Here is a 27,855-nt window from a genome sequence, read left to right as displayed (position 1 = left end):
TAAAAAGTGAGTACTTTTTATCCTACCATAAAAAGTGCAACAAATGTTGCACGATGTTACTGCGTAGAGTCCCAGGAAAATGAAGCCTCTCCAAGGGCACTCACCAAACCCTCAAGGAGACTGCCAGTCATGTTTCTAATCTGCCTGAGATGACTTCTCTGAGAAGGTCACATCCTTCTGGTAACTACATTGGGAGAATAGCAGAGCAGGACATGTCAGCAATCTCCACTCAGGGCTCATCTGAAGTTTGACTTCCCGTGAACTTGTGTTGCAAAACAGTGTTTTATTTGCCATAGGAGGAAAGAGAAGAAGACATGGAAACAAGAATACAAGGTCATTGGCAGAAGAGTACAGTCATGCATTGTTGAAATATGGGGATACATTTTGAGAAATGCAGGCAATTTTGTTGTGTGAACATCATAGCAGGTACTTATACAAACCTAAATGGTGTGGCCTACTACACACCTAGGCTGTAGCGTATAGCCTATTGCCCCTAGGCTACAAACCTGTACAGCATGCTACTGTACTGAATACTTTAGGCAATTGTAACACAATGGTAAGTACTCATATATCTAAACATAGGAATAGAAAAGGTACAATAGAAATATGGTATTATAATTTTATGGGATCACCATCATATATGCAGTCTGTTGTTGAACTAAACATCATTATGTGGTGCGTGACTGTATTCAGTTTTAAGAAAAGGGGCACTCACTCTACATTCTAAATCCCCATCTCTCCTCTCCTCCCCCTATCCTATCCATTCCTGCCTTCCTAAGAGTCTCATCACTGAAGAGAAACAGACCCCAGGCAGTTCAGTCTACACTCCAACCAATACAGCCTTGAAAAGGTAAACAGAATGTTGTTTTTATAATGTTTTATTATAAAAGTAATATATGATCTTTATAGAAAAATAAAGAAAATAAAAATCATCAATAATTTTATCACCCAGAAACAATCACTTTTAATGTGCTGGTAGAGGTTAGTCTATTTTAACATTTCTGAAATCATATAGATTTACATGATTGTTCTCACGTAACCTGTAACATAAGCATTTCCCAAGTTGCTATTATCTGTTAATAACAGTGGTTTGATTAATTGGATTGGCTGTGTGGATGTGGAACGGAAGAGCCTTGATGTCAAGAAGAGCTGAAGCACAGAAGGTGCAGTCGGTTATTTGGGACCATATTGTCTGTGGCTTTCAGGACAGGGAGCTTCAGGACTCAGGTAGATGACTCTGGAAGAAACCTTCTCTTTTGGAACTGCAGCATCTCCCTGTCCTCCCCAAGGGGAATTTAGGCCAGGAAATACCAGATCTTCCCTCTCTGATTTTCTTCTCAAATCCCAATGCAAGACAATGGAGACTAAATACGGTTCTGGTCATCAGGCTCTTCCAGAGCATCCGGGTGCATGAGAAGTGAATAGGTGATTGTGTTCTCAGCCTAGAGAAGGCAGAAACCAGCAGTAAGGATCCACAGAGAGGGCCTAGGAAAGAAGGCAACAGAAAAGGCAACAGGGGAGAAGGGAGGGGGAGATGGCTGGGATCACTCACCCCAACTTTGTCAGCCTCATCAGGATTAGTGGGATTGGCTGTGGGAAAAAGAAGAAATATCAGCCAGAGCACTGCTGGAGAAGAGGGCCTGCCTGTGCTGATGCTGAGGCTGCAAAACCAACGCCCAAACTAGAGCCAAAGCAAGCACTGCTGACCCTGTCTTGGGCCTCTAGGCCAAGCACTGGGTAAATATGACCTCATTGATCGATGCATAGGGTAGCCCAGCCACAGCCTTCCGCAAAGGCCAAGGTGAAAAAGTGGAGCAGTCACTTGAGCTGCATTCTTTTCAGGGAATTGCTGAGCTTTCCTAGAAGCAAACCAGGGAGGCTTGGGATCTGAGATATTGGGGAAGAGGTGGGGGAGGGGGGTGTTCAGCATCAGAGTGAAGTAAAGTCCAGATTTTTGCTGGCCACAGACTTCAGGGAGAGAAGGCTGAGGGCCATTTCCACATTGTCTAAATGTAGTGCATCTTTGTTGGAACTTTGAAAAATATGGTACTCCATGGCATTAAAAAGAAAGAGAGAGTGAGTGAGAAAGGGAGGAAGGGAGGGACGGAAGGAGAAAGGAAGGATGGACTTTGGTTAGTGTCTGAAACACACTGAATTCCCTCATATTTTGCCATGAACTGACTTAGCCAGTGTGAAAAGCAGCCCCATATCTGCAAAGTGGCATTTCTCAGGAAGTCAGGAGACATCTGAGACAATGCATCTAGTCTCTTCTCTCACCCCCTGAACATAGAGAGCCTTTATTGCCATGCTGTAAATTCTGCAGTAAACCGCATTCTGAATTCCCATTCTATTACATTTCCCAAGAATCCCAGCAACCCAGCTTTGCCTTTTGGGAAAGGATTTTTAAAAAACCATTTATGCAGCCCCAATGCCTGGCTGCAAAAGTGCCTTGTGAAATGTGCTTATGCCAGTGCAGACAGAACCACACAACAAGATGGATAATCCAGTTGCTTGGACTTTGTTTTTTCCAGATCTGTTTTGGCCCTGGTGTGAACACAGGCCCCTATCACCACTGGGCCTGGCCAGCAGACATGCGACCTTGCTGCAAGCACAGCTGAACAAGTGATATTTTGCTCAAGCTCTTAAATCTGTTGGCTCTGCTCTGAATCATACTCCAGCCATCTGAGGTGGGGTCTTTGACAGCCTCTTTTTTCTGCCTGTTCTTACTGTCATGGAAGCCCCCAGAGAAAGCACTGGTTTCCTTTGTGCTCTGACTTTAACTACAGTCTGGAAGTTGCCTGGCATCCTCCTGGAAGTTCCTTTACACACTCCCACCTGGGCCAGGGCTTGGGTGGCCCCTGGTTCTCAGAATGTCAAATCTAGAAGACCTGAGAGGTCACCCTGGCCACCCACTCATTTCCTCAGTGAGGAGACTGAACCCCATCAGGGAGACTGACTTGCTCAGGGCTCCACTGTGTGATGAGGGCAGAACCAGGCCAAAATTCAGTCAACCTTGAGTGCATGGGCATCAGAACTGAGTTTTGCCCACAGAGTAGAGCCCACTAGTGCCCCTAGTCCCCCAGAATTTTCTCAAGCCCAAACCTCCTCCTAGTGTTCCACAGACAGCTGAGCCTGGCCACTCCACCCCATCCCTCCACAGAGGCAGATTCCTCAGCAAATCAAGGGGTTTCCAGGCCTCCTCCTCCTTTCCCCTTAGACTCCTGCCTCCCACGTCCTATTGGCCTCAGTCTTACAGCCCCTAACCCCATCCTTTGCCAGCTCTGCCAAAGCTCCACAGGAAGACCAAAGTATCTCTGATTTCTTGCTCTGGAAATATCACCAGATTCCTGGTACCAGAAATTCGGACACAGCCCTCTCTTCTGTATCTGGGACTGGTGTTTCTCTTCTCATCTCCAGAGAGGTCGTCTTTAGGCCCAGGAGTTAGACTAAGAGCTGACCAAGCGATTTGAGCCCCAGCCATCCTCCCACTGCTGCTCCCTCCCTGGCTCCCAGCTGAACTTGCACAAGCCCCTTCTCCCTGGCTCCAGTCCAGCCGGCAGCCCTGGTGAGCCATCACTGAATCCCTGAGACAACCTGTACTCACCTGGTTTCTCAGGGAGGGTCTCTCCCATTTCCCTGCACTCAGGGTATCCTGGGAGAGCTGGGAGGGGCACACAGGAGGTTAGTAGGATTAGGCGGTGGGGCCTGAGTCCTCAGGACCAAGGACCAGGGCCAGGGTTGGATGGGACCAGCTCAGGCCTTCACTCTGGCAGATGTTTCCTGTCCTCCCACCCCCAGCTCCCCTGCTCAGAGGCTGCTCCCGCCTGGAAAAGGGCTGGTCCAGAGGCAGAATTCAGCTCACCCATGGGGATGCCCAGGAGTGTCAGAAAGTCCACGCCATGGCATCTGTCTGAGGCTTGCTCTGCCTTTTAAAAACACCCCTGTGTCTCAGTCTCTCTCTCTCTGTTTCTCTGTATTTACTTATCATCAGTAACTGAGGTGTTGGCTATGAACCAATTGAAAAGTGCTTTGTGAGGTGTTAGCAGGATTCTTTCTTTCTTGGTGGCTTGCAGTACCCTCTCTACTCCCCCTTCGACACCCATATGAGCCCCACCCGGCTTCAATCCCTGCCTTGGCCCAGTGCCTGGAGGGTCCTCCTTCCCTAGCTAAGCGCTGCCCTCACACACCACCTCCTCCAGAATGGCAACAGCCCTGTTTGTGTGCTGTTACTGCCTACCAGGCACTGTGTAAGAGCATCAGCCTCTTTCATCCCCATGGCAACCCTCTGAGGTAAGTCCTATTAGTGTCCCCATTTTCCACTTGAGACAGCTGAGGCACAGAGAGGTGGAGTGACTCACTTGGGTCATATAGTTGGTATGCTGTAGAACTAGATTTGAACTCAGGCAGTCTGGCCCCACTATGTGCACTCCATCACTACACTACACTGCTCTCCCCAAGACCTTCTCCAACTGCCTCAGCCCTTGTTGGGCTATGGAGCCTCCTCTGTACTTCTATCCTAGGCTTTTCATGTCCCTATCATTGCTCTTATCCCATCTTATTATAATGACCCTGTCTTCCTCACAATGCTGAGAACTCCCCAAGGGCAGGGACTGGACTTCTCTTGGCATCACCCACCATGTCTCACGCATTGGCTGACACATAAGCTAGTTTGTTCAAGTCTTGTCAAATGAATGATCTAATAAACGAATGAATGACTATAATACAATACGGGCCTAGATCTGAATGTGTATCTAGCCCAAAGAGAGGGATTCTGGCAATGTCTGGGGTTAGGGCCTGGGCCAAGTGGAAACTGATAACCAAAGGGACCGGGAGGAGCTACAAACCTGAAATCCGCTTTTTCCTGCAGTAGATCAAGGCCACTACAGCAGCAACAATGGCCGCTACAGCAATCCCAGTGACCACAGCCACAATGATCCCCATCGGTGAAGAGCTGGGAGCTAGGGAAGACAGACATCAGGACAGGCAGTACTCTCCTTGTCCCACCTCCCCCCCATCCAATGCTATGTCCTAGTGCTTGTCACCCGAAGCTCTTCTGTGTCTGAGTCACTCACTTCTGCAGCACTCACTACATCCCCAGCCTCATCTGCACAGGGTTTCTGTGGCTGGACTTATGCCTCCTGCTTACCGAGGTTTCTCCACCAAACTAATAAAGGTACATTTGTGAGCAGGCAGGAACAGAGGGAAGGGCTCCCCTTAGCCCTCAGGGGCAGTGGGAAGGGTGGGCCCAAAGCCTCGCATAGCTGGAGGCATCATTACTCTATGGAGCACAGCCTTGAACGGTCCATGACGTGCCAGGCTTTCTGGAGTGAATGGCTGTAACATGAGCCATGAGAAGAATAAAGGCAAACCTCAGTTCTTAGGAATGCCCAGGAGCTTAGGGAACCTCTGCACCAACGAGGGAGCTCTGCTTCGCTGCCGTCCTTAGTCTGGGGCCTGCATTTCAAAGTGGAACAACAGCCTGGTCACCTATCACCTGAGGGCTCCAAGCTCTGGCCCCTACTCCTGCTCATTGGTCAATACTTAGCCAGGCCTCCACACCACTCCTCTTTGCTCCAGTGCCCAATTTTGCGCTGTGGCCTTTCTCAGACCTCCATGTAGGCCCATGTGACCTCAGCCCTTGTCCATCCCCTCTTCTCCCCTCCTTACATCTTGGCAGACTCCGCATACCTTGGACAGTGATGGTCACAGGCTTGGATGAGTACAGCGTGTAGCCTATGTTTCCTGTGCAGTGGTAATCACCACTGTGACTGTGGTTTGCTTGTGGGATGGAGAAGTTGGGATCCGAACGGGAAAATTTCTTGGATTTTCCATTCTGGAAGAATGTGACCTTGACCAGAGGCTTGTCCTTCCAGCTGTGGCACCTCAGCACGATGGTTTCTCCCTCCTGGAACTCCAGGTGAGGGGTCTGGAGCACCAGCCACTCTGAAAGACACAAAAAACCGCAGAGGACCCGGGAGGTCTTGGCTCAGCTCTGAGACCCAGATCTTCCTTACTGGTGGGACACGATGTGCAGAGGGAACAGCTTAGGTCTGAAATCAGACAGTCCTGGACTCTAATGCTGGCTCTGTCATTTATGAACTCTTGGGCAAATAATTTAAGTCTTCTGAGCCTCAGTTTCCTCATTCGTGAAAATGAGCATGATAGTGTCATGTATCTACAATAGCCCCTAGCACATAATAGGTGTTCAGGATACACTCATCTCCTCCTTCTCCCAGGAAGGCAGCTGCAGCCTTTTCCTGCCCGACAGGCCTCTGCAGGAAGAACACAAGAGACCCTAAGATGCCATCTCTTCCATGTCGAGGAGGGAAGGAAGAATCCAGTGTGACCGAGGAGTCCGCATATGATAAGGACATATGCCTTTGTGGACAGTAGAAAAGTCATGAATGTGCAACAAATGTTACCTGATGAATGCTACCTGATAAATTTACTTCGGGAATGTTAATAAATGTGGAGCTTCTTTCCAGCAGGGTCTAAAGGCAGCAGTGTCACCAGTGGGTCATTCGTTTGCTGTGTACTTTTGAGGAAAATTTGCTCTTCAGGTGAAGGGAGGGGACTAAGTGAAAAGCCACAAGGACAATGTTCATCACAATCTCATTGTAACTTTGCTTTACAGAGAGCCACCTTTCAATGGGAGCTTTGTAAGATCATCAACCTCTCCAGCAAAATATTTATTAAGCTCTGCCCAGTTTCAGATGCTGGAAATACAAAGATGGGTAAGACACGACTTTCATCTCAGGTTTCCCACAGGCTGGTGGAAGAGAAAGACAGAGAAGAGCACCTAGCACAGTGAGAACGTGGAGAAGGGGCATGGAGGGCGGGGCGGGGGCAGGGAAACACTGATTCTCACCAGAAGCCTCTGAGGGAGGCGTTAGTGCCCCACGGAGCAGGTGAAGAAATGGAAACTCAAGGGTTAAATGAATTCATCATGTTGTATAGTGAGTCATTTCCAGGGCTAGGATTCAGTTGTGGTCTGTGCTTTTCAATTCTGCCATTAAAATGGAAATGGGTTTTATGCAGTAGGGATTTCCTTCTGCTTCTCTCACACTTGGCTGCCTGTTTTTGGCCTTGAAACCTTCTTCTGTTCAATCAGAACTGAGGCAAAAACAACCACTGATATGTGCTGAGGCAACTCACAGCGATACTTCCCAGTAAGCAGGCCACCCCCCTTTCCTGCAAACCTCTGCCTGAAAGCAGATTTCATCCGTCCTGGCCCTCCCAGGTCCACCCTGGGGCCTTCCTCCACTGACCAGAAAGCACAGTCAGATGCACAGGGTCGCTGAGGCTGGTCTGGCCAGTCTGGCACGTGTACTCCCCGCTGTCATTGTTGTTGGCCTTGAACCTGTAGCTGGGCTGCGTGTGGGTGGGAATGAGATTCCCATTGTGGAACCACTGAATGGAGTCGCTCTCAGGGCTGTGAGTCCCCCGGCATGTCAGAGTCACAGAGTCCTCCTGGAGCACGTTGATCCACTGGGGCTCGAGTTTCAGCACAGCCTTTGGGGGAGCTGCTGAGGGGCAGAGAGAGGAGGTAGCATGAAGAAGAGGAAGCCCAGGAGCTTGAGAGGCCCTGAATCTCAGACAAAAAAGCACCTGTAGGCCTACTAGGGGCACCAAAAGCCGAGCCAGGCCCAGAATGGTTCTGCAACTGAAGGCAGTTGCTTTTGCTCATACATCCCACCACAACGGCCCCAGGGAGCCCAGGACTCCGACAGGGCAACAGGGAAGAAGGAGGGAGCAGGCAAGAGAAACACCCTCGAAATACATATACTTTACCTGAGATATCCTCACCAGTTCTTTCTCTCTCTCCCCACCAACCTCTCCCCACCAGCACAGACACACAGACACCCCATACATACATACTCTTTCGAGACTAACTTTTCTCCCCGATAAACAAAGGCATTTAGACACTAGTGGATAAATTTCCCCTGGGGCTGGCTGAAGATAAGTGGGGGCTCTGGTGGAGATGGCAGGCATGGGAGTTGGATATCAGGTTTCCGTTCTGACCTAATGTCATTCTGTATACTTTAAAAACGAGGTCAAGATGGCCCGTCCTCACACCCAAGCATACACGAGCCTCTCTGGCCTCAGAAGGATAAAGAGAGAGGGAGAAAAGCCGGAGGGCCAGTCCTGGAGCGGTGGAGGCTGAGTGGCACAAACACAGAAGTGCCCGGCAAAGTGTAGCCAGAGGTATGCAGAGACCACTCTGTCAGGGAACAGGCCTTGGAGCTCTCAGAAACATGCACAGTCAAGGATTTAGCAACACAGGGGGACAACATATGCAGGCCATGTGATTTTGCATGTGCCTGAATTTTATTTGGAGAGAGGAAGCCCTTGGTTTTATTTGGACAGCGGAAGGCAGTTGAGAGAGAGATCAGAGTTCTCATTTTCTGTGACAGCTCCCCCATTTGAACACCGTGGCTGCCTACCACTTGCCTCCGTGGAAGGAGGAAAAGGAAGGAGGAGAGTGGAAGAGGGAGAGGGGATCTTTCGGGAGCAATTACCCTTTCCTGGCCCTGACTTGGTACTGGGCTCAGTTGCTGGTGCATTTAGAGCACCTCCAGACAGGGCACTGGGAGGAGAGGAAAAGGGGACCCGAGGGAAGGAAAGGCTGTGGGTGGAGTACTTACCAGGTGTCCCAGCAACAGGAGCTGTAAGACAGAAAGCAAAGATCAGCCCACAGTGGAGTGTCTGAACTGACACCTGCCCACTTTGGCCCAGAGACTGCCCAGGCCCAGAGCGCCCTTCACCTACAGCACAGCCCTCGTGGCCATATCCCCTGGGACTGCCTGGATGAGCTGCACTTTTAAAAGGACTGAGAACTCCCAGTAACATACAAAAATGAAATAAAAGTATATAACACCCTCTTCCACCTGTTTTGTGGCATTTTCCTTTGGCTTACCCCTCTTGACTGATTAAAATAAATATGCCTCTGGAAAGAGGTCTCTGTTGGGCTTTACATATGATTTATGCATCAGTATAAATAATTTTGCCAGAGTTTATCCTGAGAGCAAGATTTGTTCTTTTGTTGGGAGGGGGTAGAAATTGCACAGGTAATCCATGATCACTACAGAAAAATAGAAAATACGCAGGAGCAAAATATTATCACCTTGGCATACATCCTGTTGGATTTCTTTCTGTGATCACACACAGACACACGCTGTTCACATACAGACATACATAAGTGTAAATGAGGATATACTCTAAAAACTGTTCTTTAACCTGATTCTTCACTGAGCAATGCAAGTTCTAGAAGATGAATCTGTTTCTATGTTGTCATTTTATTTTATTTTATTTTATTTTATTTTATTTTATTTTATTTTATTTTGTGGGGGGACAGGGTCTCACTCTGTCACCCAGGCTGGAGTGCAATAACGCGATCTTGGCTCACTGCAACCTCCGCCTCCCAGGTTCAAGTGATTCACCTGCCTCAGCCTCCCAAGAGCTGGGATTACAGGCCCGCGCCACCACACCCAGCTAAGTTTTGTATTTTTAGTAGAGAAGGGGTTTCACCATGTTGGCCAGGCTGGTCTGGAACTCCTGACCTCAAGTGATCTACCCACCTCAGCCTCCCAAAATTCTGGGATTACAGGTGTGAGCCACCGTTCCCCGCCCATGTTGTCATTTTAAATGGCTACACTATATCCTACTATTTGGCTGTCCTGTGATTTATTTAACAACTCTTTTGCTTGGCATTTAGGTCTTCCAGATTTTTGCTATTAGAAATATCTGATAAAAGGAAGAAGAGACTGCAAAAGGGCACTAGATCTGTGACTTCATGCAGGGGTAGGGGGATGCCACTGGGTTAAGAAAAGAGCTTCCGTAGTGGAGGCAAAGTGTGGGCTAGGGTAGATAAAGATTTGTGGGTGCTGTTATTGGGTAAAGAAGCAAAGCTGGGTCCTTAGGTGAATCAGAGCTCTGTGTGTGTGTGTGTGTGTATGTGTGTGTGTGTCCATCTGTCCATGGGTGAAGGTTTTCTCTTGCATCTGGGCTGAGAGAAAGTCAAGAAGCTTCCAAGTGCATGTATATTTTCAGGGACAAAAGTACGGAAGGAAATGGAATCAGAACCAAGAGGTAAAAAGGGAGCAATGTGGAGAAAGTGTTGGCTTCAAAGTTTACAGAACTGGATTCTGGTCCCGATGCTCCAATATCTCGAAATATACACTTGGACCAATCACTTCCTTCCTTTGCATCCAAAATTAATCAACAAACCTGCATTGGCTTCCTACTGCCCTGCAATGCATGCTGAGTTCACCTAAGGGAAAAGAACGTTAAGTCCCTACTTCCACTGAAGGCAAGAATCTAACGGTGGAGATAAGCACATGTGTAATCTGATGTAAAAGAGATGACATTAGAGGAATTTGGATAAAATGCTATGGAGGTTCAGAGAAAGAAAAGATCCCAGGGCTCTGTGTTTGGGAGGGTTTGGGGTTCATAAGGAGGGGAATCCTATGGAGAAGATGGGACCTTTCAGGTTCATCAAGGACCTTCCAGGACTGATAGGATTTTGGCTGAGAGGGAAAAGGTATTCCATGGGAAGGAGCAGCAAGTACTTGGCAACATTCCCAGCAAGTTGCAGCCCAACTTCTACTTGATTTCTGGTCTCTCCTCAAGCACTTCCAATAATGAGGGACAAAGCAGGAAAGCAAGGTAGAAGTCATACTCTGGAGGGCTCCTAGTGCCAGGTGGTGTGGCAGTGGGGGAAAGCACATACTGAGTTTAAATGCTGACTCCGCTACTGCTAAGTGACCTTTCACAAATTACTTAACTTTTCTCTGCTTCAGTTTCCTTGCTTGTAAATGAAGATAATGACAGCAGTATCTACCTCATAGGGTGGTTGTTAGGATTAAATGAGATAATCCAGAGAAGGCATTTAGTGTGCTACATGACACATGGTGAATTTCAAATAAATTTAAGTTTTTTTTTATAAGTTCACTCCTTGGTTCAGTATACAGTGGGAAGTCACTTAGAATTTTCAAATTGGGGCTGAAAGTGCAGTGTCAAATAGATTGGAACAGGGCAAATGCCAAAGAGCTTAATTAAGAAAGAAACTAATTGTGATGGAAGAATGAGGTCAGAGAAAAAGAAAAAGAAAAAAAAAAGAGATGACTGTAGTGATCCAGAATATGTGGATAACCCATCAAACAACTGGCCTCTTCATTCCCTGAACTGCTCATCATCAGTAAACTTTCTTTCTTTGGAGATGAACTTTCTCTGCTCAAGTACAGCCACCAGAATAATCTTTGACCTTATCAAGAACCCCAAAGCATCCATCTTACCACTGCCTATCCTTGAGCACATGTTTGCCTTTACCTCCCACCCTCCCCCATCTAGCTTGAATTCAATGAGGCATCATTATAATTACCTCCTTGCAAATCCCCTTAACTTCGTTGCCTTTCTCTGTCTCTACCAAATGCACCTGTATTCGCCATGCCTTTACTTGCTCAGCTGCGTGTTATTGAAATTACCACACAAGAAGGCAAACTGTTGACGCAGTAAATGTGCGATCACCGCATTCAAAAGGACACTGAACTGCCATTGTGGCACTTTTTTCCAAGAAATTTGCTCTGCTACTCTGAGTAGTGACACTCATCTTTTCCTCATTCCCCAAGCTTTCTCATCCCACCCTCTGCCTCCAGTCCTCTCTCATTTTTAGCTGATGCCTTTCCTCATATTTCACAGAGAAAACAAAAGAGGTTACACAGAAGATCTCACATCGTCCCCCGACTAAATCTACCAGTCTTTTCTGCATCTCTACCTGTCTTCTCCTTCCTCGCATTTCACTGGAGAAAGCATCTCTCCTCCTGTCTATGGTCAGTCTCAAAGCAAGTACTCTGGATCCCATTCCCTTTAATCCTCTCAAAGATTTCCCTTTCTGTTATTCACTTTCTCCTCTGCATCACCAGTTTCTCTCTTAGCTGGATCTTCCCATCAATGGTAAATTTATTTCAGTATCTTCCATTAAAAACAAAAAACAAAAAAAAACTTTTCCTTGACACCACATATAATTCCAGCTACTGCCCCATTTCTCTCGGTTTTTGTTGTTGTTGTTGTTTGCTTCACCCAGGCTGGAGTGCAGCGGCACCATCTCAGTGCACTACGACCTCCGCCTCCCAGATTCAAGCAATTCTCCTGCCTCAGCTTCCCAAGCAGCTGGGATTACAGGCATGCACCACCACGCCCGGCTAACTTTTGTATTACCACCACATCCGGCTAATTTTTGTATTTTTAGTAGAGATGGTGTTTCACCATGTTGGCCAAGCTGGTCTTGAACTCCTGACCTTAAGTGATCCACCCACCTCGGCCTCTCCAAGTGTTGGGATTACAGGCATGAGCCACTGTGCCTGGCCTGTCTCATCCCTTTCAAAACTAAATTTCTCCATTGTTTTTCTTACATAGGCTGTCCTGATTTCTTCTCCTCTCATTCACTGTCTAATTCTCTGCAATTTGGACTCGGCCCTCAGCAGTCCACTAAAACTTTTCTTGTCAAAATCACCAATGGCTTCATGTTGTCATAGCAAGTGGACACATTCTGTTTCTCTCCGTCTTCCCCATGTCAATATGTATCTTCGTTATCCACCCAGCTACATAGGCCAGAAACCTGCAAGCCATCTTTTAACCTCTCTGTCTCCCAAAATCCAGTCCCTTCCACACCAGGAAGTCTTGTTGATCCTGCTTCCAACTTAGATCTTGCACCCACTAACTTCTCTTCACCCCCTTTATAGACACTACTCAGTTTAAGTCACCATCAGCTTTTTCCCATATCTTAATTTGTCCCCTCACTTCTTATGGTCACCCTACAATCCATTTTCCATAAAGAAGCTAGTTCCTTAAAAAAAAAAAAAAAACGAAATCAGATGATATCACTCCCCAACTTACAAGCCTTCAGTTGCCTTTCTTTGGTCTTAAAATAAAATGGAAATGGCCTGCAAGCCCTATCAAATTGGGTCCGTGCTTCCTTCTCCAGCCTCAGCTCAGATCCCTTTTCACCTACTCATTGAGCCTCATTAACACTGGCCTTCCTGGCATTCTTCAAATTTGGGGATTTTCTGTATGCCAATCCCTCTACCCTGAAATGCGTCCTTGATCACCAAATGGCTGAATCCTTACCATGTTGAAAGTCTCAGCTTAAATGTCACCCCCTCAGAAAACTCTTTACATAACATCCTGTTTAAAGTGGGCTGCTCTCTTCTCTTCCCCACAACTAATCTTATCACAGTACCCCGTTTACATCTTCATAGCCCTTTTCCATTTGTACTTATGCCTTCTTGTTTGTTTACTTACCGTTTATATCCCTCAGTAGAATATAAATTCAAAGAGAGCAGTAGCCATATTAATTTGATGTGCCATTGCTCTGGAAATCATTCACTGGTTGAATCTAGGTGGGAGATAAGAGAGCCCAAAGTTGTACTGACAATAGGAGGTGAAGAAGAGGAAACAGATGCAGAAGAAATTTAAGTGGCAGAGAGAAGTTGGCATTTAATAGACTGTGGGGGTGATTTAAGTTGGATAACTAGGAAAAGGGTGGCTGCGCTTACGCAAATACAAATGTTAGGAGGAAGAGAACATTTGTAAGGAGGAGATGATAAGTTGCATTTTGAATATGCTTTGTTTTTGAGCTGGAGAATCATTTTAGAGGTGTCCAACCAGCAGTGGAAATATAAAATTATACTTGACAGAAGCAAGCAAGAGAAATAGGTTTAGGAGTTATTGACATAGAAGTGGTAGCTAAAAACCTGAGTATGTAAGATTGGCAAGGGGGACGGTGTAGTGGGAGAGAGAGTAAAAAAGAAGAGGAAGAGCGAGAGAAAAAAAAGGAAAAGATGAGGAAAGGAGAGAGAAGTCACCAATTATGTATCCATTCCACAGTTAATAAATAGTAGTAAATACCAAATATCCTCCCACCCGGTGTACTTATTGCTTCACAATAAGTTCATTGACCTCGTATTTCCGGTCAGGAAGGCTGTCAGTCATGTTCACTGATAAGTCTCCAAGTCCTAGAACAGTGCCTGCACATAGAATTTGGAGAGTCAGCAGGAGCAAAGGTGGTAAAAACAGAAAGTGCAGTGTACATACTGCCTGGCTGTAGAAGAAGATTCATGTGGGGTGCAATGGAGAACACAGTGTGCAGGGCAGAATTAGAGTTTTTGCAGTGGGCAATGGAGCAGCACGGAAGGCATTTATTAAATGCACTGACACAGCCATAGCTGGACCTGAAGATGCCGTGGCCTTGGTGGGCAGCATGGATGCAGGGGAGGGGAGACAGGATCAATCAAGACCCCATCAGAGGGTGCTATAAAAATTGAGTTATCAAGTGATGAAGACGTAAATGTGGCAGCCCCAATAAGAATGGAAAAAATGGGGTAAATCTTTGATGACTTAGTAAAAGGCAAATGGGAAAAAATACCAAAGATCTTTCCCAGGAGTCTTGCCCAGGTGGTAGAGAAGCACATCACCTCTCTAGGCCTGAACTTCCCCACATGACAAATGAGGTAGTTCACTTTACTTTCTCTTCTACTTTAATCCATTCCATCCTATTCATGGGGGAATACTCTGTCTTCCTTACCTCTTTCTCCTGTAGCCCAGTATCATCCTGCATTGACAGCCAAGAGCCGAGGGCCCCCAGAGCTGATCACGTTTCACTAGTAATCACATCACACAACTTGGCTGAGTGGCAATATGCTTTCCTCTAGAATGTGAGGGTGGAAGCCCCAGGAACTGAGCTTGGAGAGATAGTCCTGGCAGTAAGTCTCCCCTACTTGGCCTCCCCTAGGCTTTTCAAACCACTCAGCAAAATCAGTCGTCGTCCCCTATCCAACAGCTGAGAACATGGTTAGAAAAGAGCCCTCCATTTTGGCCAAAGACCCTGTCTCTCTTGCTGATCAGATGCAGTACTTCCCCATCATGGTCTGTGTGGTCAAAAGCAGCATGCATGATTTCTCTGGTCCCACAACAGATGACTCCAGACTTACCCAGGTTTTTGTATTCTCAGAGTCCCTTTTCCCTGGATAACCCAGATCTCCCTGTGCTTCTGCCTAGGGGAATATTCTTACACATGAAGACAATAGGCTTCTGCTACACAAAGTGGTTTCAGGGGCACAGAGAATGGCCACTGCCACCTCCTCCCAAAAATGCATCTTACAACTTCCTCCCTACCCCTTACCCAAGGCAGCACTGGCCCTCCTGCCTAAGATTTGGTCTTTTGTGAAGCATAAATTTCAAAGAAGGCAAACACTCTGGCCATTCATTTATCATTCAAGTATAGGTTACTAGACTTTTCTCAGAGCGGGTTCTGATGTGGAAAGCAACAGAACATCAAGAGTCTGGGTGTTCAGTAAGATTGGGTGAAAGACACTGAAAAAACCCTGAACTCTGCCACATTGGATGACTTTCCAAAGCCAGCAGAGTCATCAGGGTTTCATCTTCACCAGCCTGCCTTCCCTCCCCTGGGTGTCCTGACGGTCTTCCCATGCCACCCCTCATCCTTGCCCAGGGTTATCCCCAACTGAGGTTCCCGTTCCTCTCTCCCTCCTGGGGGCCCTGACTCACCCAGGAATAGCACAGCTGTCCACAGAAGCATATGACCCCAAGGCTGGGGGGACTTGCAGTCAGCCCAGTCACTCTCAGTGGCAAGGACAGGTAAGAATGACAGGATTCCCATCACTCCCTGGAGCGAGCTGGCGCCCAGAGCACAGCAGTCACAGCCTTCTCTCAAAGCTTGGCGGATTCTACCCTAGAGGGCAAACAAATTCTGGAGTCTGAAAGGGGAAGTGAAAAAGAAATGTTCTGTTTTATCACAGGCTCCTCCCTTTCCACCCTCTTTCCTCTCAGTCTTTCCCTCCTAGAAGATTCAGAGCTTCCCAGAATAAATCTGGTGTAGCCCATGTTCAAATTCACAGAAATTTTAGAAACTAGGGAAACAACTCCCTTCTTCTTCCTCTGAGGCCACAGCTGGCCTGGGCCTCTGGGAGAAAGAGGGAAATGGTCACCAAAACTCAGCTCAGAACCTCCTGTTTCAGTCTCTATCCTCCTGAGAAAGGGTGATGCAGGACAGCGTGCACCAGCAATCTTCTAGTACTTCTACTTCCATTTGGAGACCCAGGCCCTGGAATCTGGATGCTTCTTGAAATTGAGCATGGGGACTCCAGGCCACCTACCATCATTTAATTTTCTCTATTGTCATAATCCCAGACTCACTGCTGAGTTGTGGAACAAGGACAAGGAGGTATGTCAGGATGGCAATAGAATGACCACACTCATCCTCATTATTCCCCTGCCCTCATTCATTCTTTTTCTTATTCATTCTTCTATTTAATGAATATCCCAATAAGTATCTATTGAGCACCAATCTGTGCCCTGGTTTTGTATCTTGGTCATTTTTGCCACCCTCATTTCCATCCCTGTTCTCACTGCAACGGCATGGTGAAAGAGCATGGGCTTTGGAGCTGTGTTAGGTTTCGGGTTGAATGCCAGGTGGCTTCTCAGAGTGTCAGGTTCCAATCTGTAAAAGTGAAGATTATTGTGCCTACCATTTAAGCACGGTTTCTCAGCCTGAGCACTATGGACATTGTGGGCCAAATTATTCTTGTGAGGACCTTCCCTGAGCATTGTAGGATGTTCCGCAGCACTCCTGGGCTCTACCTGTTAGATGCCAGTGGCACTCCCAGTTGTGAAAACAAATATGCCCCCAGATATTAGCAAGTGTTCCCCAGGGGATGAATTGCCCCTGGCTGAGAACCACAGTACTACAGGTTTTTGGAAAGTAAAAGAGAATATGAGGGTTAGCAAAGTGCTTGGTACATCGTGGGTGTCCGGTGAATGCTAGTTCTCTTTTCTTGCGTTCTGTCATCATCCTCATTACCATTTGTTCACCCTCAACATCTCCAAAACACGAGTTTCTCTGGAATCTCTCCTGGGGCCCCTTTCTGGGGACTCTTTCCCAAATGCCTTCTCAGGAAGCAGGCTGTAATACTTTAATACTTAAGGAAATGACACTGTAAAACCTTGTTATCACACTCTGTGGTCTTCAGAAACCTTCGACAGCCCCACCCACTCTGACGCGTGCTTTTACTACTGCCCCCGTTCTACCCCCAGATCCATCTCCAGCTCTTATCTAATTTTTAGGTTAAAAATTAGTTTTTTTTTTAACTGGCAATGTGATAACAATGAGCTGGCATCAATACTTTATAAATATCATTAGAAACAAAGGCATACAATATATAGGTAACACACTAAGAAACCAAAATTAATAGTTACTATGTAAGCATGTGAATTCTTACTGTAAAACCAAGGGTATCTGAGACAGGTGGCAATTAATTTAGAAGTTTATTTTGCCAAGGTTAAGGACATGCCTGGAAGAAAACAACACAGAATCACAGAAACAGTATGTGGTCTGTGACTTTCTCCAAAGATGAATTTGAGGGTTTCAATATTTAGAGGAAAAGCAGGCTGGAGGGGAAAGAGGAAGAGTATGGTAATCCACGTGTTGTAAGGGAAAAGTAGCAGGTAGGGGAATAGTCAATTATGTGCTGTCTTGCTCTCGGTAAATTGGCACTTCATGTAAGATAAGGTAGAAACGAGTAACCTGTGGAGTTTTTCCTTTCTTTCTTTCTCTCTCTTTCTTCCTTTCTTGCTTCCTTCCTTTCTTTCTTTCTTTCTTTCTTTCTTTCTTTCTTTCTTTCTTTCTTTCTTTCTTTCTTTCTTTCTTTCTTTCCTTTCTTCCTTCCTTCCTTCTTTCTTTCTTTCTTCCTTTCTTTCTTTCTCTTTCTTTTTCTTTCTTTCTTACTTGCCAGAGTCTCTCTTTCTTTTTACTTTACTTTACTTTCTTTCTTGCCAGAGTCTCACTCTGTCGCCCAGGCGGGAGTGCAGAGGTGTGACCTCGGTTCACTACAACCTCCGCCTCCCGGGTTCAAGCGATTCTCCTGCTTCCTCCTCCCAAGCAGCTGGAATTACAAGCATCTGCCACCACGCCCTGCTAATTTCTTTCTTTCTTTTTTTTTTTTTGTATTTTTAGTAGAACTGAGGTTTTGCCATGTTGGACAGCCTGGTCTTGAACTCCTGACCTCAAGTGATCCACCCACCTTGGCCTCACAAAGCGCTGGGATTACAGGCATGAGCCAACACACCTGGCCATCTACGGAGATTTTTAATCTTTTCTCTGTAGCTATCTGCTTAGGATCCAAAGGAAAGTCAGTATCTTGCACGACTCAGCTTTCAGTTTAATTTGTTTTTTCTTTTGGCACAGTGTATTGGAATCCTGAGTTTTTATTTTCCTTTCACATTATTACTATGGAGGAGGCACTAGACTCACATTATTTCTAATTTTCAACAATCCCAGAAGATAAGTATTATCACCCTCATTTGCACATGAAGAACTTAGATTCAGAGAAGTTAAAATGATTTGTCCAAAGCTACATGGTTAATAAGTGGTGGAGTCAGAATATGAAACCAAGTCTGCCTGACGCTAAAGACTTAGGTTTTCTACAACACTAAATGAGCTTCACAAACAGTATGCAGGGACCACCTACATGCCTTGTATGAGTAACCAGCACACAGAACTAATGAGTGGCTCTCAGGCCTAGGAATAGCCAGGTAGGGCCAGTTGCCCCTGGCTGTAAGCAGCCTCATTTGTTTATAACTTTACTTGTGTGGTTTTCTCTGTGCCACGATTTAAAAATGATCAGGAAGTCCTACACAGTGCACATGCTACTTCCCTGAATTGTCTCAGGATCCAAATACCACTACTAGACATTTGACTGAGACAAAAGAACCAGACAATGTCTTTTAGATGACTTATTAAAGGAGATAGACACAGAATCAGGTAGGGCATTTCCAAGGACACTAAATCAAAACAGAAATGAGTCTCTTTTTCCCATCACGGCTGGGAAAGGGAAAGCACAAAATACAAGGAGATATTTCTAAAACAAAATGGTTAAAATAGAGGGGCACACTATTTATTAAAACTGAAATATGTCAGTCAGAAAGGAAAATTCTTGGGCGGGGCCCAGTGGCTCACACCTGTAATCCCAGCACTGTGGGAGGCCTAGGTGGGCAGATCACTTGAAGTCAGGAGTTCAAGAGCAGCCTGGCCAACATGGTGAAACCCTGTCTCTATAAAAAATAAAAATTAGCTGGGCGTGGTGGCGCATGCCTTTAGTCCCAGCTAATTGGGAGGCTGAGGCACGAGAATCGCTTGAACCCGGGAGGCAGAAGTCGCAGTGAGCTGAGATCATGTCACTGCACTCTAGCCTGGGCAACAGAGCAAGACTTTTCTCTAAGGAAGAAAAGAAAGGAGAATTCTTTGAAAGGGACGATTTTATATAAAATGTGTATTCTGGTAAGGGGAAAAGTATGAATAACTCAAAAATCATGAGAACCCATAATGAAGATGCTTGGAGACAGACCCAGATCAAGAGCCTCATCTTGTCTCTTATCAGCTGTGCAGTCTTGGATATCTTATTTATCCTTTTTTTTTTCTTTTGACAGAGTCTTGCTCTGTCACCCAGGATGGAGTGCAGTGGCACGATCTCAGCTCACTGCAACCTCCACCTCCTGGGTTCAAGCGATTCTCCAGCCTCTGCCTCCCGAGTAGCTGGGATTACAGGCATGTGCCACCACGCCCAGCTAATTTTGTATTTTTAGTAGAAACGGGGTTTCACCATGTTGGCCAGGCTGGCCTTGAACTCCTGACCTCAAGTGATCTGCCCACCTCGGCCTCCCAGAGCGCTGGGATTACAGGTGTGAGCCACCGTGCCTGGCCTATTCATGCTTTGTAAGCTCTGTTGTCTCATCTGTGAAATGGAGATTACATTAGTACTCACCTTATAACATGAAGATTAAATGAGAAAATCCATAAATAATGCTAAACACAGAACCTGCCATATAAATTTAGTCTTAATCATTATTATCATTAAAAGGCTAGAAGAATCTAGTCTCTGCTTCCAGTTGGGACTAGTGTTTATAGACCCACTTTGGGAAGGCAGATTAATGTTATAAACTCAAATGGTTCCAATTTTACATACTCTCAGATTCCAGCCTCTTGATTCAGAATGTACTCCTTTCTTTTTGTTCTGCTTGGTTGAATTTTGTTTCTCTTCCTCTTAATATCCTGACCACAGGCTCAGTGAATCCCTGTGGTTGTTTTTATCAATCCTCTCTACAGTTTCCTCCTTATAGCCACTTCCCCACAAGCTGAGACAGCCAGGCACTACAGTCAGCTGCCAACCCCAAAGGAGAGGGAAGCCTGGCAGAGAAGGCAAGCACCAGGAAAACAAACAAAAAGGATGATTGACTGATGGAGGCTCTGGTTGGAGAGGCCTCAGCCAGGTCTAAGCATCAGCCACACCTCCTCAGGGAATTCAGGTCTTTGTGTTAAAGCATCATCATCTCTAACAACCCATTAGAAATGCAAATACCCGGCCAAGAGTGGTGGCTCACACCTGTAATCCCAGCACTTTGGGAGGCCAAAGTGGGTGGATCACTTCAGCCAGGGAGGAGGGAGAGAGTAACATTTCTAAGTTTTATGGCTTGCTTTGGGGAAGAGGGATTTTGGTTTCTATGACTTGCTTCAGGGGAGAAGGAAGGGTAAAGGACAGAAGGGCAAGAGAATGTCAGAGAGACCTTGCTTCTGAGGTCTTCCAATCTCCCTTAGTTCAAAGCACTCAGCAGGCCAAAGTGCCATATATTGGGGTATTGTTTCTGTGCCCCAGCTGGCAACACTGGGTAAAATTGGAAATTAGTCAATGCTTATCATCATTAGGAACATGGTGGTTAGAACCAGGAAGAACTTGTAAAAAGTATCCAATTATTGGTGAAAGAACAGACAAATAGATTAATGGAACAGAATAGGGAGCCCCCAAATAGGCTCACATGAATAGAGTCAACTGATCTTTCACAAAGAAGCAAATGCAAAGCAACTGAGAAAAGTCATTAAAGACCCTCGTTTCAGAGGAGTACTGCCCCACACCCAGGAGGAAGGAATGGTACACAGGCCAAGAAGAATCTAAACACACAGGCCTTGCTAAGTTTTCCCCATCAGTCTGTTAGCATCAGACTCTACCCTTTATCCAGTCACATTTCTACAGGGCTAGGCATTCCTCATTGAACCTAAGCATAAAAACAGAGTCTTCCCTGAGTCTTTGGGTCTTCATTTCAGAAGGCTCCTGCATCATGTAAAATTTTGATAAAATAAAATAAAACTTTGACAAACTTTTCTCTTGCTAACTCATCTTTTGTTATAGGAGTGTCAGCTATGACGCTCATGATGGGCAAGGAAAGTTATCACAACTTTCCACCTCTATGAAGCTCCAGATTCTACTCTCTCTTCAATGATGATTTTCAGTATGAGGGTGCCCAGTCTGCCACAACCTGTCAGGGACAGAAGAGAGTTGAGATCTTAGGTAACCCCTGGGCAGGCTCATCTCTGGGGCAACACACAGAAGGGTGAGGACAAAGAGATAGCTTACTGTAAGTGCCACCCTAAAAAGGTGCTAGCCAGGAAGGAAGATGTAAGCCATCCCCTGGAGAGAAAGCAGAAGGGTCGAGAACCGGAAATGTCCATTAATCAGGTATCCAAAGAAGAAGGACTGATGTGTGAGGAGTCAGAAGCAGAAGGGAGGGTGCCGGGTCCAGGGCCAGTTTGAAACAAATCGTGTCAGCCAGGCATGGTGGCTCACGCCTGTAATCCCAACACTTTGGGAGGCTGAGGCAGCCAGATCACTTGAAGTCAGGAGTTCGAGACCAGTCTGACCAGCATAGTAAAACCCCATCTCTACTAAAAATGTAAAAATTAGCCAGCTGTGGTGTCACACACCTGTAATCGCAGCTACTTGGGAGGCTGAGGCAGGAGAATTGCTTGAACCCAGGAGGTGGAGGTTGCAGTGAGCCAAGATCATGCCACTGCACTCCAGCCTGGGCAGCAAAGCAAGACTCTGTCAAAAAAGAAAAAAGAAAAAAGAAAAAAGAAACAAATCTTGCCACCATCAAGTTCCCATCATCCATTTCTCTTTGTGCATTTATTGGCAGATTGTTAAGGCAGGACAGATCCTAAAAGTGATTGGAATGTAAATAAAGGAGATCTCTGCCTCTACTAAATAAATACACAATAAAAATTAAAAGGAGATCTCCTCTGACCAAGGTATTTCAGTAAAGTTGCAAATATGAAGGTAAGTATTGCTGCTGGTTGAGTAGTCTTATGGAAAAGCCCTTCAATCGGGTCGCGGTTTATCGTTCTAGAAACTGGGAAAAGTATTTTGTACGAGAGGACAGTGGAGGTTCCTGCTCAGCATCTGTTCTTTCCTGTGGCCTCCAGTCTCAGTAGAGACCCTAGGAGAAGAGTTTACTGTGACTGGAGCAGAAGAGCAGGCTGCAGTTAACTTGGTCCCTGGCAGAATTACAGAAGTAAAATGAGGTCTTCAGGAATCACTGGAGGGAAATGATACTGAGAGTGGCAATAGCAACAAATTCTGAGCAGGAAAGCAATAACTCATGGGGATCAACTAGTGACTGATTTACTCAACCCATATGCAGTGCTCTAACCCAATGTTGACTCTGCTAGGTAAGAAAGATGGGGTGGGGATGGATGGGAGGAAGAAATGAAGAAATGAGAAGAACAGTGGTCTCTGTCCTGAGGAACCCTCATTACAATGGGAAAGATAGGATACATGCAGGAGACAGATATAAAAACAATACAAACCTATCCTGTGCTTCACCTGAATTAGAGCAGAAAGTCGTAGAATTAAAAATTGAGGCTGGGCACGACGCCTGATGCCTGTAATCCCAGCACTTTGGGAGGCCGAGGCAGGTGGATCACCTCAGCTCAGGAGTTTGAGACCAGCCTGGCCAACATGGTGAAACCCCATCTCTACTAAAAATACAAAAAATTAGCCAGGGGTTGTGGCACGTGCCTGTAATCCCAACTATTTGGAAGGCTGAGACAGGAGAATTGCTTGAACCCGGGAGGTGGAGGTTGTAGTGAGCCGAGATCACGCCATTGCACTCCTGCCTGGGTGACAGAGTAAGCGACTCAGTCTCAAAATAAATAAATAAATAAATAAATAAAAATTGAGGAAAAGTGTGAGTGTTAGAAGAAACAATTGATTATAGAGCCAAAATATCTAATCAGAAAGATTGTGATTTCAGACATATCTGCATAATCTCTCTTCTTTACCTCCTCCCCCTGTAGCCCACTATCACCCTGCATTGACAGCCAAGAGCTGAGAGCCCCCGGAGCTGATCAGATTTCACTAGCAATCACAGCACACAACTTGGATGAGTGGCAATATGCTTTCCTCTAGAATGTGAAGGTGGAAGGCCCAAGAATCGAGCTTGGAGTGATAGTCCTGGCAGTAGGTCTCCCCTACTTGGCCTCCCATAGGCTTTTCCAACCACCCAGCATGATCGGTCCCTGTCCCCTGTCCAACAGCTGAGAATATGGTCAGAAAAGAGCCCTCCAATTTGAAGGGTAGTTCTGAATATTAAGGTACTTCTGAATAGTAAGAAGTAATAACATAAATATATGAAGAATATAGTAGCTCAGAGAAACAGGCTTGCACCATGAAGGGTTAGGACAGTCATAAAATGGAAATCATGTTTATATGAGAAACAACATAGCCTCAAGGGAAACAAAAGCCAGTATCAGGCTTTGGTGAAAACTTAGAACAAGGAGAGATTGTAAACTAACCAGAGGTGTGAAGAGCAAATAGCAGAGCCTACCTACATAGCACAACTCCTGCCTGCATGGCCATCAGGACACAGTCAGTGCCGACCTCAAGGACACTTTTGATGATAACTTTTAAAACATACCATTTTACTTTCTGCTTTTTAGATTATCAAGTCATGTGAGAAACAGATAACTTCATCTAATTTCTGTGCTTAAATTCATTATGCCCTGCCATTCTGGTGATTTTTCATTTTGGACTTGGCCATTTTGATTTGTGGTATAAAAACAGCTGTGAAAACCAGCCTCATTAAAATGTTTTCATTAGAAACACCCCCCAAAAAAACCTGTATTAATTAGAAACACCTGAAAAAAAACAGATAATACACAAAGTGATAACTTTTCTTGAACCCATCAGAGTGCTGAGGTAGTGAGGCAACCAAATACCCTGAAATCTAAGAAAAGACAGGTGTTTCTAAAGAGGGCTAGGATATGAGCACAGGCTCACCTGTAAGACAGCGTGGAAGGAAGGCAGGGCTACCATTCAAATGGGTTAGAAGAATTCAGCTAAAATTTTTAATAAATCGCTGAAAGCCAGATGTGGCCAAGAACTGAGAGCTCATGATACAAGGGCCATTCCTACGCATTTGAAGCATCTTCATGGGCCTCCACCAGAGCTCATGAAAAGCTTGTGGCCAGGGAATACATACCTAGGTAATGGAGCAGCCATCATTCTGGGAAAGGCATGAAGCCCACCTGAATCCTTTTTTCTAAGGAACAAATGTCTTAAATCACTGGAAGAAGGGCCCAGGGCACAGGAAAAGAGCCCATTACACCTGGAGGAAAGGAACAGGAAAAAACAACAACAACAACAACAAAAAACAAACATCTCTCTACCCTTGGGGAAGGGGCTGGAAACCATCCCGAGCCTAGATGATTACAGGTCTTCTACCATTGGGTGAGATCTAGGATCACTGAAAAAGCCCTGTCCTCAAGATCCAGGGACAGAAGGCCCGACTAAAACTGAGGCGGGACTAGAACAGCTGTCACAGCCCCACACGTTCTTCTTAGCCACTGCCCTGAAAAAATCAATAAGAACAGCGGCTATTGCAGCAAAGAAAGAGTTTAATAATCACAGGGCCAGCCATGTGAAGAGAGCAAGCAGCAATTTCTCAAACACATCTCCCTGACAATTCAGAGACTAAGGTTTTTCATGGGTACTTTGGTGGGCAGGAGGCTTGGAAACTGGAACAATCGATTGGCTGGGGATGAAATTACAGGGGTGTCTAAAGCTGTCTTCACGCAGCCAAGTCAGTTCCCAGGAGTGGGTGGATCTCAGGACCTAGTGGCGTCTCTTGGTCTACTGAAATGTTGAATCTGAAAAATACCTCGAAGACTCGTTCTTCAGGGTTCACAATAGTGATGTTATCTATAGGAGTAGTTGGGGAAGTTATAAATTTTGCAATCCCCGGTTACGTGACTCTGGTGCAGTAAGCAACATGCTACTGTAAGGACACATGGAAAGCAAGGAAGTGAGGAAGACACACTAAGCAATGGCAGGTCATTGTTTAACTGAGTCTATTCTTCAGCAAAGTTAAAGTCCCTACCGTATTTTAACCTTGTCTTATGAATGCAGTTTCAATCTTGAACAAGGAGGGAGATCAGTTTCCCTTGACTCAAAGTTTAACTATAAACGTCACTCATAGCTATTTTGACCTCCATGCTAGAATAAGAAAAAAAAAACTCGCCTGTGGGTTAGAAGCAGGATGGAGTCAGTCATGTTAGATTTCTCTCTTTATTCGTTTATTTTTTATTTTTATTTATTTATTTATTTATTTATTGAGATGGAGTCTTGCTCTGTCACCCAGGCTGGAGTGCAGTGGTGGGATCTTGGCTCACTGCAAACTCTGCCTCCCTGGTTCAAGCAATTCTCCACCTGCCTCAGCCTCCCAAGTAACTGGGATTACAGGTGCCTGCCACCATGCCCAGCTAATTTTGTATTTTTAGTAGACACTGGATTTCACCATCTTGGCCAGGCTGGTCTCGAACTTCTGACCTCAGGTGATCCACCTGCCTCAGCTTCCCAAAGTGCTGGGATTACAAACATGAGCCACCACGCCCAGCCAGATTTCTCTCCTTATTTATATATATATTCTGCAAAGGCAATTTCACAACAGATAAACCTCTGCCCTACCTCCCAGCCTAGCAAGTACTGAATAAGAAGCAAAAGTACTCTGCCACTGAAGAGAGAATCTCTGAGGTGCAGGCACATACTTTAGAAAGTCCTAAAGTTGGGGTAGTGCAGGAAAATTGAGAAAATACCATCCGGGAATACCGGTGTCTCTTGGTCTACTGAAATGCTGCCTCCACCCAAGCACAAGATAACACTAGAAGAATTTGAAGGTAACTATGGCAATAATAAAACCCGAACCCAGCTCAACTCTTGACTAGATTGGCCCACACTAAGAGCTTACCAGAATAAGAGGGGTGCTCATTTCCAATCATAAATGCAATTTACCTCAGTCCCTACTGTCCTACATATAATGTCCAGAATTCAATAAAAACAATGAGCCAACACAGAAAAGCAAGGTTTAAAAATCCTGTCAACAGACAATGCAAGCAATAGAAACTGCTAAAAGATGATTCAGATGTTGGTACTATCAAATAGGGAATTTTAAAATCAAACCATTAATTACAACCATACTTAACATGTTAAAGGCTCTAGTGGAAAAGGTAGACAACATACATAAACAGATGGGGAATTTCAGCAGAAAGATAGAAACTATATGAAGAGTCAAATGGAAATGTTAGCAAATTTTGAAACAGAGTAAAAGAGAAGAGGAATGTATTTGACAGGGTCATCAGTAGATGCCATACAGCTGAGAAAAAAAAAAATCAGTACTTTGAAAATGGGTTCATAGAAATTACCCAAACTTAAATTCAAGGAGTAAAAAAAAAGAAAATAGAACAGAACACCCAAGAACTGTGGGACAATGTAAACTGGCCTAACATATATGTAATTGAAATCCCAGAGAATAGAGAAAGAATGGGAGAGAAGAAACATTTAAAGAGAAAATGGCCAACAATTTTTCAAAAATAATGGAAGTTATTAAACCACAGATCCAAGAAGGACAAAGAAGCATAGGCAGACTAAAATACACACACACACACACACACACACACACACACACACACACACACTCCTAAACATATCATATTTAAACTGCTGAAAATCACAGATAGAGCATTATTAAAATGCCCATAGATCTTTATTTTATTTTATTTTATTTTATTTTATTTTATTTCAGTTTTTGAGATGGAGTTTCGCTCTTGTTGCCCAGGCTGGAGTGCAATGGCACAATCTCAGCTCACCACAACCTCTGCCTCCTGGGTTCAAGCAATTCTCCTGCCTCACCCTCCCAATTAGCTGGGATTACAGGCATGCGCCATCACGACTGGCTAATTTTGTGTTTTTAGTAGAGATGGGGTTTCTCCATGTTGTCAGACTGGTCTCAACTCCCGACCTCAGGTGATCCACCCCCCTCGGCCTCCCAAAGTGCCAGGATTACAGGTGTGAGCCACTGCGCCCGGCCAGATCTTTATTTTAAAAATTTTGATTGGAGAGCTAGGATGCCAGTGCCACCACTCTAGCCAGCCACAAAGGAGATAATCAGAAGTTATATTGGCGGAAATGTCAAAATATCTAAATCTTTCTCTTGGCCAACTAAACTGGCTGGAAGATTTTAAAAGAAAAGTTTTCTAAGATATGAAGATAAGCAAAAGAAGAGTACAGAGCCTAGTTTCTAATGCACGATAATACTTTGCTTCCAAAATAAACGGGAACCCAGACCTTGTTTTCTGATCTTCCCTTCAAGACCAAAACCTCAGGCCATCTCCTCATCTGCAGTTTTCCTTATCTCTCCCTTGGCAGAAGAAGTCATTTTTCTTTCTGAATCTCAAAGTTTTCTTCCCCGAGTTGTCCTAAATGTTGCATTGGGCCCTATCACTGGAAATGCCTTTTTTACTCTAAGCCCAGGGAGAACTCAGAATTCTCTCACTTCTCTAAGAAGTGATTTATGAACCCCAGGGGCACTATGCAGTCTTTTACGATGTACCCTTGCAGTTTGCAGGGCCAAAATACTCTGAAGTCATTCACCATCTGTTTCATCACGACTTACCAGGGT

General features: G+C 45.4%; 1 protein-coding gene across 15 annotated transcripts in view, besides 1 other annotated feature; it reads right to left on the bottom strand.

Moving 5' to 3' along the window:
* FCGR2B (Fc gamma receptor IIb) overlaps positions 264-27,855 on the bottom strand; it is a 31,412-nt gene continuing 3,820 nt past the window's right edge. Inside the window, exons 2-10 of one of the 15 annotated variants that reach the window (NR_169827.1) lie at positions 15,565-15,748; positions 8,646-8,666; positions 7,269-7,526; positions 6,869-7,006; positions 5,689-5,943; positions 4,845-4,958; positions 3,605-3,661; positions 1,553-1,590; positions 264-1,442 (exon numbers count right to left, since the gene is read on the bottom strand). Coding sequence is in view for 14 of the 15 variants with exons in the window: in NM_004001.5 (NP_003992.3) it covers positions 1,365-1,442; positions 1,553-1,590; positions 3,605-3,661; positions 4,845-4,958; positions 5,689-5,943; positions 7,269-7,526; positions 8,646-8,666; positions 15,565-15,676 (933 nt within the window). In the remaining variant the exon portion in view is untranslated. Of the gene's footprint in view, positions 1,443-1,552; positions 1,591-3,604; positions 3,662-4,844; positions 4,959-5,346; positions 5,455-5,688; positions 5,944-6,868; positions 7,007-7,268; positions 7,527-8,645; positions 8,667-15,564; positions 15,776-27,855 lie in introns of those variants that run through there. The other 14 variants (NM_004001.5, NM_001002275.3, NM_001394477.1 and 11 more) reach the window with 14 other exon arrangements.
* Positions 7,340-7,918: an enhancer, noted in NCBI's record as "H3K4me1 hESC enhancer chr1:161640790-161641368 (GRCh37/hg19 assembly coordinates)". NCBI's record gives its function as "activates a minimal SCP1, AML or CMV promoter by ChIP-STARR-seq in naive H9 embryonic stem cells {active_cell/tissue: H9 hESC(naive)}" and the evidence as "EXISTENCE:reporter gene assay evidence [ECO:0000049][PMID:30033119]".

Source organism: Homo sapiens, chromosome 1 (genome assembly GCF_000001405.40).
Source record: "Homo sapiens chromosome 1, GRCh38.p14 Primary Assembly".
Taxonomy (NCBI): Eukaryota; Metazoa; Chordata; class Mammalia; order Primates; family Hominidae; genus Homo; species Homo sapiens.
This window is presented reverse-complemented; position numbering and strand designations above follow the sequence as displayed.